Here is a 19,465-nt window from a genome sequence, read left to right on the forward strand (position 1 = left end):
CACTTAAAATTGGCGGTGCCTCATTGGCACTTGATCATAAGTGGTAAGTATTGTCTTTCTAGTAATGCTGTCAGTTTCTTGAAGATGGGAACAATGCCTTCTTTCCTTCTACCATTAGTTCTGGAAGCAAAGCAATTCAGAAAGTATTTGATTGAGGAGCTGGGAGGTGTTAGGAGACCAAATGGGTCAGACAACAGGGAAGGGCTTCGGAGTGACAATTTTGACTTGATTACCTGAACGAGGAATCCATACTCCAGAGTGGGAATGTTCTTGCAGTGACCACTGACCTGGTGAGAGTAAAAAGACAGACCCCGTGAACCTCCTATGAAGCTGGGGCCTAGACAGACCTGACTCTTGCCTATCACCTAGGACTCTCCTAAAGCAGCTAAACCCTAGCTCAGAATCCCGAAGCTAGAAAGGAGACTTTTAGACATTTTTGCCAAAGGTTCTGGAAAGGGGCTCACCTGTCCTTAACCCTCCTTCAAAGTAGATGGAATAGGTTAGTACAGCAGCTACAGTTAACTACAGTCCTACTCACAAACTAATAAAATCATACATGACTTCTCCTTGAGATTCCCATCTCCAGACTCTGTGCTTCATGGCCTATCAGAGAAGCTCGCTAGACAATTTAGACATAAGTTTTCTACTGTTAAAAAATGTTTTCCAGCTGGGAGTGGTGGCTCGTGCCTGTAATCCCAGCACTTTGGGAGGTGAAGGAAGGCGGATCACTTGAGCTCAGGAGTTCAAGACTACCCTGGCCAACATGGCAAAAGCCCGTCTCTACAAAAATATGAAAAATTAGCCAGTCGTGGCATGTGCCTATAGTCCCAGCTACTTGACAGGCTGAGGTAGGAGGATCATGAGCCTGGGAGGCAGCAACTGCAATGAGCAGAGATCGCCACTGCCCTCCAGCCTGGATGACAGAGTGAGACCCTGTCTCAAAAAAAAAGAAGTGTTCCATTCTACTCACTCATGGTACATACCTAGGTTTGATTTATGATGCCTAGACAACCATATCCCCACCCCATTTTGAGAAACTACACTCCCACAGTTCCACTCCCACCCTCCTGATAGCCAAGTCAAACCCTCCCCAGCCCATGTACCAAAGGAGAGGTCCGTGCTGGGGGAGGGAGGCCCACGTGCTGAGGGCACAGGAGACCTGCCTGGGGGCTGGGAGGGTAGCCAAACACTTCCACTTTGGGGTTCTTCATGGTACAGGAGATGGAACGGTTCATGAGGCGCCCAACCCGAAGCTCTGGTACACCTAGTTTGCCTTTCAGCATGGAGTCCTGTATGATAGGGAAACTGGGAGACCTGCAGAGAGAGAGCAAAGAGAAGTGATAAAACTGGGGATTTCATAGGATCCCTGGAGGGGACTGGAGATAAGTGAGCCCTAAGCCAAAAGTTCTAAACTAAAGAAAGACAAACTCATATCTGAGGAAAGTTGCATTGTATCTTAAACACTATTAAAACAAGTAGATCACACATCTGAATTAAAATTTTTATGTCATCATCTGTGGGTTCTTCACATTGGGACACTGAGGGTGGGCAGAGGCAGAGGATAGGTTATTATGTTTCTAAGCCAAGTATGGAATAATCCCTTGGAAAGGCTGCCTGTTTTTCTGAGAGAGAGAAAAAAAAATAGAGAGAGAGATTGTTAAACACTGCGCTAGGCAAGAAGTAGTTGCATCCCAAAGGGCGTAATATTGACTATCTGACTGTCAACAATGATTCCTGGGAAGCTACAAATCTGGGTTTGTGTCTGCCTTTGGGAATATCAGAAGACACCACAGGGGGAAAATGTAGACCTGGGGTCAAAGAATGGAGCAATATTTATTTCCAGAACCTAGCAAGGAATTACTGCCTGTTCTCTGACACTTTCTTCTTAGGATGGGGAAACGGATCAGGACAAAAGAACAGAAAGATGGAAGATTCAGCATACATTTCTCCAAATACATATCACGAGCTAGGTATTCTGTTTTACATAAAGGATTAGGTATTAACCTTGGATAAGGAGTAGAAAGGTAAGGACACATAGGGAACAGGACCATGTGAGTGGTGTCAGTAGTTAAAGAGACAGAATTCAGGGAAGAGAGGGGATAGAAACATTTATGTAATCAAGAAGGTGGGGGTGGGGGCTATCACAAGGTGTTTACAGATGATCAGCTTTAGGGAGCACTTACTTGGGGATGGGTGAAAAGATGCTGAGGCCAGCTCGGAACTTCTTGATGGTACCACTTGCCTTGAACCAACTGTGCCTCTTCTCCTGCTGGGTCTTCAAGAAATCATTGCTCAGATGTTTCCATTGTTGGGATGTAAACATACCCAGGATCCTGAGGGATCAAAAAGAATGAGCTTAGGCAAGATGAGGCAGGGTCAAGAAATAAGGACTAAAGAGAGACAAATAATCTAAAATTCAGACCCAAGGACTGCAAAGCTAGTTGTGGTAGGGGAATGTGTATCTGAAGACCCCTTTAAATGACCTTAGTAAATAAAAAAATCACCATCCCAGAGCACCCCTTCACCCTAGAGGGCACCTAGCCTAATGGCCAGAAAAATTCAGAGATGCGTTGCCTTTAGAGTGAGATTTCAAAGGTGAGCCTTCAAAGGCTGCAAACTTTGAAATCTATTGCCAAGAATGACTATACTGTTGACAGGGAAACAGAAGTGGTAGGATGGAGGTGAGTACCACTTTGTTCCTTGTGAGTCATGAAGAAAGGGAGTAGGGACATAAGGGGTACTGACATTGTTAGGAGAAAAATTATATTCTCAAATTTATGGTTTCCAATTTGAGCTGCGCCCTTAGCTAGATTTGTCAATCCTTTCACTTGTCCTTGATCAGTTCTCTCTAGCATTACTCTAAGGTATTGTTCTAAATCCTTATTACCTTCTTTAAGTTACTAACTTCATCTACAACCAAAAACCTCTCTTCCTTCTTAAGCCATCAGGTATCAGTTCCCTTAATTTTCCAACCCTACTATAAAATCTACTTACATTTCCACCCTACCTTGATCCCTCCATTCTCTGGAGGTAAGGTGACCCTTCTACCTAAGATCAATCCTTTGATTGCCTTTTTAGGGACCATGATGTGTCAATCATTCCCCTTTCCTGTCAGTTCCTTTCCCAAAGTCAACAAAAGATGTCAACTTTCTGCACCTTAGTCTAGTTAACCTCTCCCTGTTGCCTTCCCATCCCCATACAAATTTCTCAACCCATACTCATTGTTTCTATGTTGTTGCCAACCACTCACCTCCAAACTTTCTGTATTCTGGTTCCTACCTTCACCACTATAATTGTTCTCATCCTGATGCTAAATCCGATGGAAACTCCCAGGTTCTTCTCTTATCTTCTCTGGCATCTGGCCCTCCTTGCAGAACCTGCCCTCCTTTGTCTTCTGTGCCACCATTATCTTCCTATTCTACTCTGACCTACCTGCAGTGTTTCTTCTTCCTCTGCCTACCCTGCTGGTTTCTTTGGGATTTCATCTGAGTGTTTAAGGGTATTTTGTCCTTGATCCTATCTTCTTTTCCCACTATCATGCCTTCCTTTGGCAATCTCATATTCACTGACTGTAACTTCTTCCCACACACATTGATGCATATCTTCAACCCTAACCTCTCCTTTAAGTAGCAAATTGACATATACTCTGGTAAGTAGCAAATTGACATTTCGGATAAGCATCTCTACCTGCATATCTGAAAGTTACCTTTAAATAACATGTCAAAAATGGAACTAATTACCTATCATCATCCTACAAACCTGCTCCCCTCTCATATCCCTATTTACATTGGTGGTATCACAATTTACCCAGACATCTAGGCTGGAAACCTAAATGTATTTTCCACTACTCTTTGGCCCTTATGGCTATATTCAATATATCTAAATCAGTCTTCAAGTCTTATTGATTTTATATCTCACAAATCTTTCTAATCTGTCTCTCATCTCCATTCTCACCTATAATCACACTTTAGCTCTGGCCTTTAGCATCTCTTGTCTTGACTTTTACAAAAGCACCCTACTACACTAGTTCTGGTCTCTTGTCTCATCCCCTCCTACCCATTTTGTATAATGCTACCAGAATGGTTTTTAAAAATAAATCTGACCACGTCATTTCTTTCCCTAAACCCTTCAATGTTCACACTGCCTAAAGGATAAAAGTCCAAGATCCTCTCTAACTTGAACCCTTCCCTATTCTCTGGCTTTGGCTCCTACACCCCCAGCTTGTATTTTACCAGCAATATTTAACTACCTGAAGCTCCCTACACATATACTGCTTTATGTGACTAAGCCCCTGCAAATGTTATTCACCCTCAGAATCTGTCTACATGGACAACTCTTATCCATCCTTGAAAATTACTAATCATTGGCTGGGTGCGGTGGCTCACACCTGTAATCTCAGCACTTTGGGAGGCTGAGGCAGGTGGATCACTTGAGGCCAGGAGTTTGGGACCAACCTGGCCAACATGGAGAAACCCCCATCTCTACTAAAAATACAAAAATTAGCCGGGCATGGTGGTGGGTGACTGTAATCCCAGCTACTTAGGAGGCTGAGGCACAGGAATCACTTGAACTCAGGAGGCAGAAGTTGCAGTGAGCCAAGATCATGCCACTGCACTCCAGCCTGGGTGAGAGCAAGACTCTGTCTCCAAAAAAAAAAAAAAAAGGAAATTATTAATCATCACCCTTTCAACAGACTGAGTCACTCTTCAGTGTCCTTTCTAAACCTTACATATTCACCTGTATTAGAATATGTATCCAGTGGACTCTATTTGAAACTTCACTGAGAGTGGAAAATATGCTTCATTTCTTTGCATACCAAATACCTAGCTTAATGCTCAACACATTCAATAAACTAGAGTTCCTAGAGACTTACTCTGAAGAAACCACTAGAGAAATATGAATAGCATGACTCTGATTTCAGGGTAGTAAAAATGCTAAGTAGTGATGAGCCTCTTTTATCTCTAGAAAGTCTCAGCTTCTGACACCCAAGAACCACATACTCTCTCTCCACAAGCTTAAATCTGGCTCCCTAAATTTATTTTAGCTTTTCCTGGGCATATTTCAGAAAGACATTTTTGGAAGGGGGCATTCCATCCAAGGCTCTGCCTGTCCATCCATATATTTCCACCTCTCTCTCCTTCCTTCACATGTCCATGACCAGAAAAGACCAAAGTTCTTACTTTTTCAACTGAAGACCCAGCCCAAATCCTTCCTTATTTGATGGCTGGAAAACCTCAATGGATGGTTCTGCAAAGAGAAGAGAAGGCTACTAGTAAGTACATATCTCTTGTCTTCCTGGAGTCCAAAGCTCAGTGGAATAGCTTCCATACATTCTAAAGATCATAGCTGCTGGGTACTCTAAACAGTAACGGTGGAAGAAAAAAAACATCTGAGGGAGAGGGCAGATTCTCGAAGCTGTCATATGAATCTGAAATATCCTCAGGAGGATGTTGAGAAAAGGAGGAGAAAGAAATTTTATCTTGGAACCAGAGAAAACAATGTCATTAGGCAAGAAGGCCTTTAGGGAATGGTTATTAGGTGACAGGGGATGAAGATACCAATTACAGGGGACTAAAAAGCCCCTACCAATAGCCTGCAGATTGAGCCCAAGGACCTTGTTCCTAATTTTTTTCTACCTCAGTTAACTTAGGGCTTTGGATTAGACCACACTCAGACCACCCACTTGCCCAAAGTCACTGCCTTTACCTGGTCCATCTAGGTACTGGGAGAGAGAAAATCGCAGCCTCAACACAATAGGTTCTGTCCGGAGGACCTTCCAGGCTGTAGAGACTTCCTCCTAAAAGAAGAAGGGAAATAGTTTCCAGTTTAGCAACATAGACGAATGGACCTGAAATTTCCCCTATATGACACACACATGCACATGACAGTACACACCACTGTCTGCTGATGGTCTAGGAAAGACAGAGATGAAGAATATGTGCTCCAAATACAGCACTCGGGAACAAGACTCCTGGCCTACATGACAAATTCCACAAGTCCAGCTAGACATGTTGTTGGCAGGTACTAGCCCCACTTACATCGAGGAAGCTGATGTTGATGTGGAGGTCAATGTCCACGTCATCGATAGTTCCATATTCTCTATAGAGATACAGGTGACAACAGGTGAGACTCATTAAGGGAGAAAGAAGGGAATAGAAACTGAGTTGGAAAGAGAACTGAGCCTGGGGACAGGGGAAAGGGAAGAGTGGATGACAGTTTTGTACCTAGGGTCTTAGCTATAGCCTTACACCACTTACCTGATCAGGATCTACTTCCAGGCCAAAAGCATTTCTTACCTGAAAGGTGAAACTACTGGCCCAGAGGGGTCTAGGATAAGAGGGAATTCCTAAGAAAAGTGGCCTTACTCTCTACTCTCAGCCAAGCTCATTTATTCTGAGCATTTTCTATCATTAAGTTCATAATTTATCCCACTATCATACCATAAAAAGAAAAACCTCTAGCCTTTTAACAACTCAGAAAGAAGTGACTTGCTCCCCTGCCACCCCTGAAGTAGAGTCCCACCTGATGGATACAGAGTTCTCACTGTAGATCTCCTTCACGGCTTCAATGTCTGCATCAAGCTGTGGGTGTCGATACAGGTCAGCTGCACAGCTCCCCTGAGATAGCAGCAAAAATGGTGGTGGAGAGAGGTGGAAAAAGACGAGGGAAAGAGAGAGATAATAAAAAGAATATGAAAAGACACCAGGAACAGGAGAAATCAGACAGCAGTATAGGGGAAGTAAAAGCCACTTATGTGAAGGGGTTCTCAGTGGTGACCCTAGCAAGGGATTTCATTAACAGAGGTCTCCATCTCATCATGACTTTAAAAAGGTTCAGCAGACCAAATGTAGGCTTTTGCTTGGAGTTCACTTCCTTAAATCTCCAGCTTTTCTCTCAGACCTTGACCAGGATACCTTCTATGACAACTCAGAACAGGCTGAAGAGTTACAGGTTTCCTAAGATTGGTTCTAAGTGAAGAGCATTCTGAGAGTCTGGGTACTTCTGCTCAGGACTGTGCCCTGGGTAGTGATGGCATTAAGCAAACGCTGGCAGAGTAATCTTTTAAGATGTGACCCTAATGAATGAAACTACCCCCACTGGCTAGTGTTATAAAAGTCAGAAAATAATTATGTCTAATTAAGATATGGGTAGTCTCCACATACAGAGGATGTAGTTTACTCTGGAACAGGTATGACTCCAAAGAAAGAGCAAGGGCACGGGATCAGCTCTGACAAGACCATGCTCAGACCACATCAACATTATAACCTCATCTCATCTGTGCTCCAGAACCTCTTTCACTCCTGATGTATCCAAAAAGCAGCACATATCTAGACCATCCAACACGGGGGTCTTGGGAGATGTAACCTCACCTGAACGCCATAGAGAAATTCCTCTGATTCATTATCTCCCTCCGAGTCGTCATCATTCCAGAACTGGCCTTTGATGTCCTAGTGGTGAGAAATAAGGATATCATGCTTTGTTAGGTCCCTATTATCCCATGGAAAGGCGTGGGATGATATGGTGAGGAACAGATTCCCACAAAGATTGGGAAATATAGAATAACTGAAGCCCTGATCCCTTTACACCTTTCATGTCACCCTTTGTGAGAGTCTCAGTCTCTTCCTGATATGATCATATCCATAAACTAGCTCTTAGTGGGACAGAGGAAAACATCTAGGGAATTTTGGCCTTCTGAAGTCTCAGTATGATGACTGAGAGGCTCTGGTAGCCAGTAGGAAAGAAATGCAAATGACTTCAATGTCAAGGTTGACTCCTAAGCATATCTGGGTTCCAGTACAAGCTGGCCTCTTCCAGGATCATTACCTAAGACAGTTCCCAAGCACACCTAAACTCTCTTGTCTCATTATTTTCTTTCTATCCTTTAAAGTACTTAACTCTCCTCTCCCTCCCCAAGAAAACCCACTACACAAACACACCAAGTAATACTGTTTCTGTGCCCCTTCCCTTTCCTTTAACTTCAAATAGCCACTCTATCTTCCAAAAGGGTAGAAGGGAAAATACCAAGAAAGGGTGAGATCTGCACTTTGTCTCCTCTACCCTTTGAACAATCAGTTGGAGAGGTGGGCAGTCAGTTCTCACCATTGGGTCAGTGGGTCACACACACTCTCAGGTCAGTGCTAGGCAGCACCCCTCCATACCACTAGCCGAACCAAGGCCAACGAGATGGGCATTTAGGAGACCACAAAGGGAGACAAGGTAGGGCACGATGTCAGGGACAACTGGTGATCTGTTGGGGATGGCAGGCTCTGCTGTTGCGGTGGTAACAAGTCACTGTCCTGTGGAAAGTAGATAATAATGGGTTTCATCACCACTTAATAGCTGGGTGGTGTATATATACAGGCACACGTATTTATCAATACACTTTTTTTTTTTGAGACAGAGTTTCGCTCTTGTCGCCCAGGCTGGAGTGCAATGGCGCGATCTTGGCTCACTGCAACCTCCGCCTCCTGGGTTCAAGTAATTCTCATGCCTCAGCCTCCCAAGTAGCTGGAATTACAGGTGCCTGCTGCCACGCCCAGCTAATTTTAATATTTTCAGTAGAGATGGGGTTTCACCACATTGGCCAGGCTGGTCTCGAACTCCCGACTTCAGGTGACCTACCGGCCTCGGCCTCCCAAATTGCTGGGAATACAGGCGTGAGCCATTGCACCTGGCTATTAATACACTTTTATTATACATACAGATACTTGCATATAAAAAGACATGCTTGCGTGCATATACATGCACACTTGCACATGCAGTTCTTTATAGATAATGAAACACAAAAGCACTATATGCAAGATACTGCTGTTCTACTTAAACTGGAGAGCTGGGATTAGAGCAAGATCCTGCTCTAGCTCATAATGTTACAACTCCTAAAGCCAAAAGTGATGGTGGCAGGACAAGATGCTTATGTTTACTCTGTCAGTTAATTCTTCAGAGTACCAACTCACACCAGAGTTAAGATTCAGAATCGGATTATTTCTGGACTCTTTATTCTTAGTTATTTCTCCATATTAGCCAGTATCTCTCTTTAAACATCAGTATTACTAGCTATTATACGGCAACAATAGCTAACTTAAAAAGTCCTCAACGGCCAGATCACCTGAGGTCAGGAGTTCAAGACCAGCCTGACCAATGGGGTGAAACCCCGTCTCTACCAAAAATACAAACTTAGCTGGGTGTGGTGGCGTGCGCTTACGATCCCAGCTACTCAGGAGGCTGAGGCAGGAGAATCGCTTGAATCCGGGAGGCGGAGATTGCAGTGAGCCTAGATCACGCCACTGCACTCCAGCCTGGACAGTAAGAGCAAAAACTCCATCTCAAAATAAAAAGTCCTCAACAACACTGAACATCTTTTGGCAGTTATGGTCTCAGTTGTCATTGCCAAAATAATGCCCTAAAGTCATCTTGGAACCTGCTTCCCAAAGAAAAATGCAATAATTATCCCAAAAATTGCTTAGAAAAACTTTTACTTAACCCAGAGCCCTTTCATACACAATTCCCTGCTCGCTTCTAATCCCACAGACTCCTAATCCTATACCAGCAACTTTTAGCTCCATTAAAACCTCCACATATAGCAGAAAAACAAAACAAAACAAAAAACTCATCTGTGAAATTATGAAGGCTTTAATGGCTGAAGATGGCAAATCTACCCTAAAAGCAGGCTAAAAAAGCTTTCTGTTGCTCTCTAGACCAGCAAGTCACTGGCTTTGCACACATCGCAGCTGAAGCTACTCCAACCTCAAACAGAGGTGTTCTTGGTCTCTAACACAGTTCTTCTTCTTCTTCTTTTTTTGTTTTCTGACAGAGTTTCGCTGTGTCGCCCAGGCTGGAGTGCAATGGTGCGATCTCGGCTCACTGCAACCTCTGCCTCCCGGGTTCAAGCAATTCTCCTGTCTCAGCCTCCCACGTAGCTGGGATTATAGGCGCCCGCCACCATGCCCAGCTAATTTTTGTATTTTTAGTAGAGACGGGGTTTCACCAGGTTGGCCAGGCTGGTCTCGAACTCCTGACCTCAGGTGATCCACCCGCCTCGGCCTCCCAAAGTGTTGGGATTACAGATGTGAGCCACTGTGCCTGGCAGGTCTCTAATACAGTTCTACTGAATGTCAGGTTTCCAGATTAGTGATTCTCTGACTGGGGTTGGTGGACCTACAGCATCAGTATCATCTAGGAACTTGTTAGAAATGCAAATTCTCAGACTCCTCCTAAGACCTACTGAATTAGAAACTCCAGAAATGGCCAGGCACTGAGGCTCATGCCTGTAATCCTAGCACTTTGTGAGGCCCAGGTGGGCAGGACACCTGAGGTCAGGAGTTCGAGACCAGCATGGCCAACATGGTGAAACTCCTTCTCCACTAAAATAAAAACATTAGCAAGGCATGGTGGTGCACGCCTGTAATCCCAGCTACTCAGGAGGCTGAGGCAGGAGAATCACTTGACCTACGGAGGCAGAGGTTGCAGTGAGCCAAGACTGCGCCATTGCACTCCAGCCTGGGGGGCAACAGCAAAACTCTGTCTCAAAAAAAAAAAAAAAAAAAGAAAAAGAAAAAAAGAAATTCCAGAAATTGGACCCAGTAATCTGTGTTTTAACACACGCTCCAAGTTGTTCTGATGCATAAAATTTGAGAACCACTGTTCTAGTTCTAGATCCTTGTGTGTTCTAAGGACCTGTGGTTCATTCCTTAGATACCAACTTAAGTCTGGTAACTAAGCCAGGATGGGGACAAAAGACACCATGCCAGAGCAGAGCCAGCATAGGAGTCTTCCAGCTCATAGTGTTGCCTGATCCTTCAGAAACAACATGCAAACGGAAAGTATAACTAAAGTTCTTAGAGATGGAATGACCCGATTACTGAGATTTGTTTAAAATACTACCCTGGCACACACATAAAAAAAGGAGGGAGGATAACAGATGAAATAAATACAGCAAATAGCAAAATGTTGATTACTGGTGAAGCTATGTGACGTACATGATGGTTTTCTGGTAATCCCTACCTCCCTACTTTTGTGTAAAGTTGAAAAGTTTCAAAATAAAAAGTTTAAAAAAAAAATCAGAAGCTACTCTAATGGGCTGTCCTCAAAGTCAAGTCTAAATGTTAACAGGAAGATTAACCAACACTCCACAATTGCCTCATTACTGTTCTTCAAACTCATCAAGCATATTCCCACTATAGGGCCTTCATCTTCCCACCATATTCCCAAGCATATTCCCGCCATAGAGCCTTTGTCCCTGCTGTTCCCCTTTCTTGGAATGCTTTCCACCCAGATATCCACATGGCTTGTTCCTTCACTCTTCCAGATCTCTGCTCAAAGGCCACCTTGACCATCCTATTTATTAAAACAGAAACAACTCAACACCCACACACTAGCACTCTCTATCTCCCTTCCCAGCTTTATTTTTTTCCACTTACCATGTTCTAACATATAAAATGTTTATCAGAATGTAACCTCTGGTGGCAGAGGCTTTGACTGCTTTCAGTCTACATTCTTAGTCCCTTAACACATTTCTTGAATGAGAGAATAAATGAATGAACCCTCTGCTGGATACTTAAGTCAAATGGGAGATATATACAATAACCTGCATGTTTCTACACATAGACAAAAATCACACAAAAAAATGATTTTAAAAAGCAAAACTTCACCTTCAAGAGCAGCTGAGATCCAGAATGTGAAGATCTTGGGGTGAGGTTCGTGAGATTTGAAAATAAACAGTCAAGTGCTGATCTGGATGATCACAGAGGAATAAAGAGGGAGGCACTAAATGTCCAGCCTGGGTTGCCCTGGGGTGAGGGGTAGGATGACGGCAGCGTTAGGCCAGAAGTGCCAACTTTTCACGGTCTTTGTTGCTGCAGAAGTCAAGAAAAATTTAGCCTCTTTCCAAGGGCTGTTGCTGCTTGGTTTCTGTTGCTATCACAAGGAGAAAAAGGTATTTCAGAGGGAGTTTTTCTTGTTCAAGCAAGAGACAGTTCAGAGATTACCGGCTTTTTCAAACCAGGCTGCTTTAGTGAAAGGGACTTGCTTCCTCTACTCTCAATGCCCTTTCCTCTGGAGAGATGGAAAGTGGATTTAAAAGGTGAAGAGTTGGAAAAGGAAGGTGGTGGGTTATGGAATTCACAGGATCACAAACACTTTTTAAAAAATTAGCCGGAAACGTGGCCTAATTCAAAGCTTTCATGTTACACACAGAATACTTAGACCTACAGAGGTCGACCAATTTGCTTAAGGTTAGGAGTACAGAAGGACTGGGATGTAAAGACATTGGACAGGTCCTAATTACATCTAATCTTCATGTGATGTGGTTATAATTAATTGAGTTGTTAATGAAGTAAGCAAGAAAGACCTATCTGATTTATCTAAATGAGGTAAAGAATGGGCCCTTTCAAAAGAAGTTGGGCCAAAAATAGACTATATGATGAGTGTCCAGAGAAGGTGTTAAAACTCAGCGGCTAATATAGAACGCTTTATGAGTTTCCACGAGAATAAGTCAAATGTAAATGAGCCTCAAGTCTGGATCACAAAGGTCTTTCCCTAGGTCCATGGGCGCTTCTCTAGGTGTGACAACTTCACGTCTAGTCAAAGCAGCTTCAGAGCTCAATGTTTAAATTGTGGGTTGGGCTCCCGGCTTTGTGGTCCTGGAGGAGGTTACTCCACTCCATCCCGTGTGCTCCCTTCTCAGGAGTAGGCCACTAAACAAAGACTACTAGGAAGAATCACTGAGGGGCGACTCCCGCAGGTTAGCGCTATCTCGGGCACCCCGCAGGGAGAGAGGACACGGCTGCCCCGCGAAAACACTCTCTGGCACCCGTGCTTCCAGGACAGGCCCTGAGGCCTCTCCCGGGGAAGCAGTTACACCTGTTCTCCGGGGCTCCCCTGAAGACCCCAAAAACACCCAACACCTGCCTCCCCAGGAAAGACGCTCTGGGCCCGATCTATGCCGCCCGGCCGCCGGGCCTGAGTGAAGCCTGTCCAGCCTAGGAGGGGCCCTCAGAACCTCCCGGTCCAAGCCTCTCACTTCGTCCACCCCTGCGGAGACGGGGCGAGCCCCGCACCCTTCCCGTGGCCCGGCCGCACCGCCCTGTGCCCGTGGTGGCGGCCACACAGGCCAGCCTGGCGAGTACTCACGGCGACCCCGGGCCGCGCGCGGCCGCAGCCGACGGGACGAGCGGCCCGGGACGCCCCGCGGGGGCGGAGCGGCAGGCCAAGGGGCGGGGGCCGGGCCTGGCGGGCGAGGTCGCGCACCCCACGCCTCGTCGTTCCGTCACGGGCGCGCTCAGCCACTCTGCGCACGCTCGCGCGGTGACACGATGGCACGTGGCCCGCTCCTGACCAACAGCCTGACGGCCTGCTCCTGGGCGCGCCTCAGCAGCCGACGCCAGCCTTGAGACGCCTGCGCGGCGGTCGCTAGTCGGGAAAGGGTGCGGAGTGGGGGGTGGCGCCTGCGCCGTGGGTAGGGGAGGCAGTGGAGAAGGAAGAGGGACTCTGGGGGAGTGCGGGGAGCCTTCCAAAGGAGAATACTTGCATTTAGCGCCCCGAGTGGTTGGGAGGAACAAGCAGGAAGGGCAACCCAGGTTGCCTGTAGGCCGGGAGGGAGTCCCCTCGCCGGAGGTTGGGGCCGGCAGGTAGAGACTGAGGGAAGTCCTGAGGCCTTGCTGACTGCAGGATTCTCTGGTTCGACAATGGAAGTCGAACACCTCGGGCTTTTAAAAATTCTGGCATTTAACTCATTTGTTCCCCGGTAGCTGCAGCGTGATGGAGAGCACCCTGGCCTTCTAGTCAATCTGGGTCTGAAGCTTGGGTTCGGCACTTATTGATGGTGCAGCCTTAAGCGATGACTTTCACTTTGTGAATCTGATTTCTCCTCTTTGAGGTGGAGACAGTAATATGTGTTTCACGGAGCCGTTGTGGTGAGGATGAACTGAGATAGTGTTAGGTTGAACCGTAGGAAATTGCTATTTTTGCAGTTTATAAACAGTCAGATACCTTCAATTTCATACGATTCCAACTAATCCATGTAAAGTAACCAGCAGAGTACTTGGGACTAGGAAGTAGTTCATACATGGAAGCTGTAATTGTGGTTATTGTGGTTATTAACCCTAGACATGGCCAGATCTCCTTCATCCTTATTAGTCTTGGGGCTTCCACGTGACCCTCTTTTCCATCAACACTAATGGGAAAAGGCTTATCTTAGACCTACTCTGTTTCCTCACTCCCTCTTTGTAGCTGGACACAGTACACACAAAGAAGGCTTTGGCCCTGAATGATATAAACACGTCATGTCTATCCCTCCTAAGCTGGCCTCAGAAGTTTCCCAGTTAACTTTTTGTTGTTGGTTGATTTACATTTGCACATTCTCAGCCTCTCCTTTCTAACTCCTTCCCCTTTTGATGTCCCCCTCTGCTCACCTTGCCACTCAGCCTGGGCCACAACACCGTCTCGGTGTGAGTTTGTTACATCTACTGCTTATAGTAACTGAAAAAAGTGAGGGATCAATATAACCTCGGTTTCAGAGTGCGGAAGTTCAGAGTGGTAGGGGAAGGAGTCAGGCCTGCTCTCTAAAACAACTCACCATCAAGGGCCCCGTAATAGCTTTTGAGAACCAAGTATGTATGGGAGTGTTTGAACATAAGCACTGTGCCCATGAGTGACAAGTCCAACTCCAGTATTCAATAACCTTTAGGATTCCCCCTTTCCAGCATACCACCACTAGCTCTTCTATTCATCATGAATCTCAGCCACCTCATAGTTTACCAGTATCTTCCAGGCTTCACCTCTTTTCCTACCCAGTCCACATCCTTGGTCAGTCATTTTAATCACATCTTTGTTAATATGCTTGCACTTACTCTGTAAAAATCACACTCCTGGGTCATGCCAGCTATCTACCTTCTCTACTCTCCCATCCTAAACCAGGATAAAGGAAGTCATCCAATCCTGCACACTTAAGCTTGTGAGTGGACACCATTTAGGTTAGTCTAGCCCATGAACCCTATTCTGTGGGAATTATCGTTTCCACACCCACACTATGGATCCACAGGCCCCAGGGCCATGTTCGTCTTGTGTGACCTCTAGCACTTTAGCTGCAGTTTATTGAACTGTGAGTGGATTCCTGGTCTAAGCTGTGTTAAACAGATGTTCTCCTGAAAATCTGGGATTAGAGCTGACAGATTATGATTCTAACTGGACTGGTTTCTTAAGCAAAAGAGACATAGACTTAGGAGCTATGGTACATCTACCTCCCACCTACTATGATGAATGAGAAAAGGAAAAAGACCATCTGGGGACACAGAATGAAGCATGGAGAGGCAGAGACCAGAAATGGTGAGACTACTCTCTGCTTTCTGGCAGCTTCCCAGGCACCCCTCCCTTCCTTCCTTCTTTTTTTTTTTTTTTTTTTTTTGAGACAGGGTCTCACTGTGTTACTCAGGCTGGAGTACAGTGGTGTGATCATAGCTTACTGCAGCCTCCAAGGCTTAAGCATGCACTAACATATCTGGCTAATTAATTTTTTTTTGCAGAGATGGGGTCTCCCTATGTTGCCCAGGCTGATCTTGAACTCCTGGGCCCAAGCAGTCCTCCATCTTGTCCTCCCAAAGTACTGGGATTACAGGTGTGAGCCACTATACCCTGCCCAAGGCACTTTCTGAGGCCCTCTGATCTTGAGGGACTAGGAGTCAGTTTTTATCTAGAATAAATGGCTTAAGCTAACTTAATGTGCACTCAGTACAGAGCTCCTACAAATTCATTGTCTCCTCAGCAGAGTCCTCAGTGTACCCAGCAACCCTTCCCATGTCAGCCTCTCCCACCATCCCCCATTCTGCTTCACAGAAAAAATAAAGGCTCTGGGTGCCAGGTACTTGGGTGGCTGAGGCAGGAGGATCTCTGGAGCCCAGGAGTTCAAGGCTACAGTGAACTGTGGTTATGCCACTGCACTCCAGCCTCAGCAATGGAGCGAGACTCCCCATCTCTTTAAAAATAAATAAATAAATAAAAGGCCACGGGGGAACTGCCTCAATTTTCTGTCCCCTCCAAACATTTGAATCTCTCCCATCCTTTCTGTTTCAGAAGTGGAGAGGGCTCTCTTCAAATACAAAGTTAGTCCTTTCACTGTGATCTGTATTTCATTCCTTTTTGCCTCCTTGGGAAATTTGCTCCTTACCTCTCTCTTTCATTTATATTCAACTTTTTCCTCTCCCCTACTCGTTGATCTCAGTATATAAGCTTGATCAACTAGCCCAACCGTAAAAAGAAAATCCAATTTGAATCCTATATGCCATGCTACTGATTTTTCTTGCCTTTAACCAAACTTCTAGGAGTAGCCTATACTCCCCCTCTCCACTTTCTTGTCTTCAGTTGTTCCTTAAATCTGGTGTCATCTGACCTCTCCCCAAAATTTCTACTGAAAATACTTTCACCAAAGTGACACATGACTTACAAATGGACAAATCCATTGGGAATTTTCAGGCTTCATTTATATGACCACACAGTGTCATTTGGCATTGTCAATCATCTTGCCCCTGCAGTTGACTGCATGGTGTCATTTGGCATTGTCAATCATCTTGCCCCTGCAGTTGACTGCATGGTGTCATTTGGCATTGTCAATCATCTTGCCCCTGCAGTTGACTGCATGGTGTCATTTGGCATTGTCAATCATCTTGCCCCTGCAGTTGACTGCATGGTGTCATTTGGCATTGTCAATCATCTTGCCCCTGCAGTTGACTGCATGGTGTCATTTGGCATTGTTGATCATCCTGCCCCTGCAACCCTTTCCTCTGTTGGCTCTTATGGGCTACACTCTTCCAGTTTCTTGCTACACCTCATATGACTCCTTCACAGTATCCTTATTATACTCCCTTTCCTTCATTCCCTACTTAAGTAGAAAAGCAGTTCAGCCCACATCCATTTCTCCTATTACTCTTCCCTGTGGCCTCCATGGCCACTTGAAGGAGATCTTGATAATTTGGGGTTGCCCAGAAACAGAATCTCCTTCTTATGTTACAAGTTTTAGAAGTAAGCAGAGCCTATCTTTCATGACAGACACTAAAAAGGTTGAATCTTTGCTTTCCCAGCTCTCTAGCTAAGACAGAGGCATGTGACCTTGGCCTGGCCAAGCATCTTCCAGAAATGTAGTTTCTGGAGTGACTCAGAGAAATAGAATCATAGAGAATTCATGCCAGTGGCAATGGTGACAGGAGAGCAGGGTCAGCTTTACCCCATGCCCAGGGACTTTCATGGTGTGGGTACTGGTAGTGGTGACATCCCATGTCCAATAATGATGACAGCAGCAGTGGTCTTGTGGAGCTGGTTCTGGCATCTGAATTTGGCCTGTGCTGTGGTGGACTGGCCTCTCATTGTTCCTGCCTATTTTCCAAGCTTGGGTCTTTTGCCTGGCAATCCCGTGACCCACCTAGTGCCCTTTCAACAAAAGTCTCATTTAAATCCACCTGAGTGACACACAGTTATAGACTGGAACTCCCAAATCTATATTTCCATCCTGTACTTCTTCTTCTTTTTTTTTTTTTTTTGACGGAGTCTCGCTCTGTTGCCAGGCTGGAGTGTGGTGGCGTGATCTTGGCTCACTGCAACCTCTGCCTCCCAGGTTCAAGCGATTCTCCTGCCTCAGCCTCCTGAGTAGCTGAGACTACAGATGCACGCCACCACGCCTGGCTAATTTTTGTATTTTTAGTAGAGACGGGGTTTCACCACATTGGCCAGGATGGTCTCAATCTCTTGACCTTGTGATCCACCCACCTCGGCCTCCCAAAGTGCTGGGATTACAGGCGTGAGCCACCGCGCCTGGCTTCCATCCTGTACTTCTTGAGTTTCAAGTTAACTTTGGTCAAGTTGTCTTTTGGACAGCTCCACTTGGATGTCACATAGGCAAACATCTTCTCACTGTATTTCTTTCATGTTCCTAACTTAGTAAATCTCACCTATGACTTATTCAGACTGAACCCTGAGAAGAAAGCATCTTAGACTTCTCCCATCCTTATTTAAATGGAACCAATTTTACCTCATAAACTCTAAATTTTACATCTTAATACATCTTCTTCTTCTTTTTCTTTCTTTCCAAACTCTGGCCTCCTGCCCTCTAGCTGCCTAAAAGCACAGAGACTCAGAAGGCAGAACAGGCCACACGCCTGGGTCTGGCTTTTCCCAAGGGATATCTTAGGTGCTGAGCAGAAAATGCAAGAAACTAAAAAGCCTGTGGAATGAGCCTCAGCCTCCTGGGGAGTAGTAGACAGGGTCTCAATATGTGGCCCAGGCTGGTCTCAAACTCCTGGCCTAAAGTTATCCTCCCACCTCGACCTCCCAAAGTGCTAGGATTACAAGTGCGAGCAAATTAATACATCTTAAATCAATCCCTCCTTTATATTCCTATTCCTCCCTACCAGAACTATCGCATTCGCCTCCTAATAGACTCCTTATCCAGTATCTACTCCTGCAATCTATTCTCCACTTAGCTGCTTAGGGGATCTTTCTAAAACTCAAATCTGATCATGTCACTCCTCTATTAAAACCCTTCAATAGGCTGGGCCCAGTGGCTCATGCTTGTAATCCTAACACTTTGGGAGGCCAAGGCGGGTGGATCACTTGAGGTTAGGCTTCGAGACCAGCCTGGCCAACATGGTGAAACCCCGTCTCTACTAAAAATACAAAAATTAGCCGGGCATGGTGGCAGACACCTGTAATCCCAGCTACTCAGGAGGCTAAGGCAGGAGAACCACTTGAACCTGGGAGGTGGAGGTTGCAGTGAGCTGAGATCGCACCATTGCACTCCAGCCTGGGTGAAAGAGCAAGACTCCATCTCAAAAAATAAAATAAGATAAAAATAAAACCCTTCAATGTCTCTCTACTACTCTCAGGATAAATACACCCTTTCTATAGATATAACCCTATTTGACTCTCACCAGCCCCTCACATGCATCCTACACTCCAGCCTGGCCAGATTATACATTCTTATAGGCCATGCAGGACATACTTTGTTTTTGTTTGAGATGGAGTTTCGCTCTTGCTGCCCAGGCTGGAGTGCAATGGCTCGATCTCGGCTCACTGCACCCTCCGCCTCCTGGGTTCAGGTGATTCTCCTGCCTCAGCCTCCCAAGTAGCTGGGCATTACAGGCATGTGACACCATGCCCAGCTAACTTTGTATTTTTATTAGAGACAGAGTTTCTCCATGTTGGTCAGGCTGGTCTCGAACTCCCAACCTCAGGTGATCCACCTGCCTCAACCTCCCAAAGTGCTGGGATTACAGGCATGAGCCACCGAGCCCGGCTGCATACTTTTATACTTTGTAAGTATTAGTACTTAGTGGAGCTGACAATCACAATGCTACCTCCTGCCCCCTTCTACCCCACACAAATGGATGCATGACCCATCAGGCCAGGCAAAGGACTCCATCATCCTGACCAAAGTGATTAGTTCAGGTGTGGGTTTGTGACCTAAGCAAAGCCAATCATAATC

The 19,465-nt window shown here is 45.6% G+C and overlaps 1 protein-coding gene across 33 annotated transcripts in view, besides 3 other annotated features; it reads right to left on the minus strand.

Moving 5' to 3' along the window:
* Positions 1-13,180, minus strand: part of PARP6 (poly(ADP-ribose) polymerase family member 6) — a 31,374-nt gene extending 18,194 nt beyond the window's left edge. For 6 of the 33 annotated variants that reach the window (NR_136609.2, NR_136607.2, NR_136610.2 and 3 more), the window contains exons 1-11: positions 13,019-13,180; positions 11,649-11,913; positions 8,101-8,297; positions 7,371-7,448; positions 6,523-6,617; positions 6,039-6,099; positions 5,707-5,797; positions 5,181-5,247; positions 2,184-2,333; positions 1,104-1,314; positions 234-287 (exon numbers count right to left, since the gene is read on the minus strand). Coding sequence is in view for 20 of the 33 variants with exons in the window: in NM_001323532.2 (NP_001310461.1) it covers positions 234-287; positions 1,104-1,314; positions 2,184-2,333; positions 5,181-5,247; positions 5,707-5,797; positions 6,039-6,099; positions 6,523-6,617; positions 7,371-7,448; positions 8,101-8,103 (810 nt within the window). In the remaining 13 variants the exon portion in view is untranslated. Of the gene's footprint in view, positions 1-233; positions 288-1,103; positions 1,315-2,183; positions 2,334-5,180; positions 5,248-5,706; positions 5,798-5,895; positions 6,100-6,522; positions 6,618-7,370; positions 7,449-8,100; positions 8,298-11,648; positions 11,914-12,906 lie in introns of those variants that run through there. The other 27 variants (NR_136605.2, NR_136611.2, NR_136604.2 and 24 more) reach the window with 13 other exon arrangements.
* Positions 12,923-13,342: a silencer, noted in NCBI's record as "silent region_6620". NCBI's record gives its function as "represses an Ori minimal core promoter by ATAC-STARR-seq in GM12878 lymphoblastoid cells {active_cell/tissue: GM12878}" and the evidence as "EXISTENCE:reporter gene assay evidence [ECO:0000049][PMID:35858748]".
* Positions 13,483-13,532: an enhancer, noted in NCBI's record as "active region_9717". NCBI's record gives its function as "activates an Ori minimal core promoter by ATAC-STARR-seq in GM12878 lymphoblastoid cells {active_cell/tissue: GM12878}" and the evidence as "EXISTENCE:reporter gene assay evidence [ECO:0000049][PMID:35858748]".
* Positions 13,593-13,682: an enhancer, noted in NCBI's record as "active region_9718". NCBI's record gives its function as "activates an Ori minimal core promoter by ATAC-STARR-seq in GM12878 lymphoblastoid cells {active_cell/tissue: GM12878}" and the evidence as "EXISTENCE:reporter gene assay evidence [ECO:0000049][PMID:35858748]".

The sequence above is a fragment of the Homo sapiens genome, chromosome 15 (genome assembly GCF_000001405.40).
Source record: "Homo sapiens chromosome 15, GRCh38.p14 Primary Assembly".
Taxonomy (NCBI): domain Eukaryota; kingdom Metazoa; phylum Chordata; class Mammalia; order Primates; family Hominidae; genus Homo; species Homo sapiens.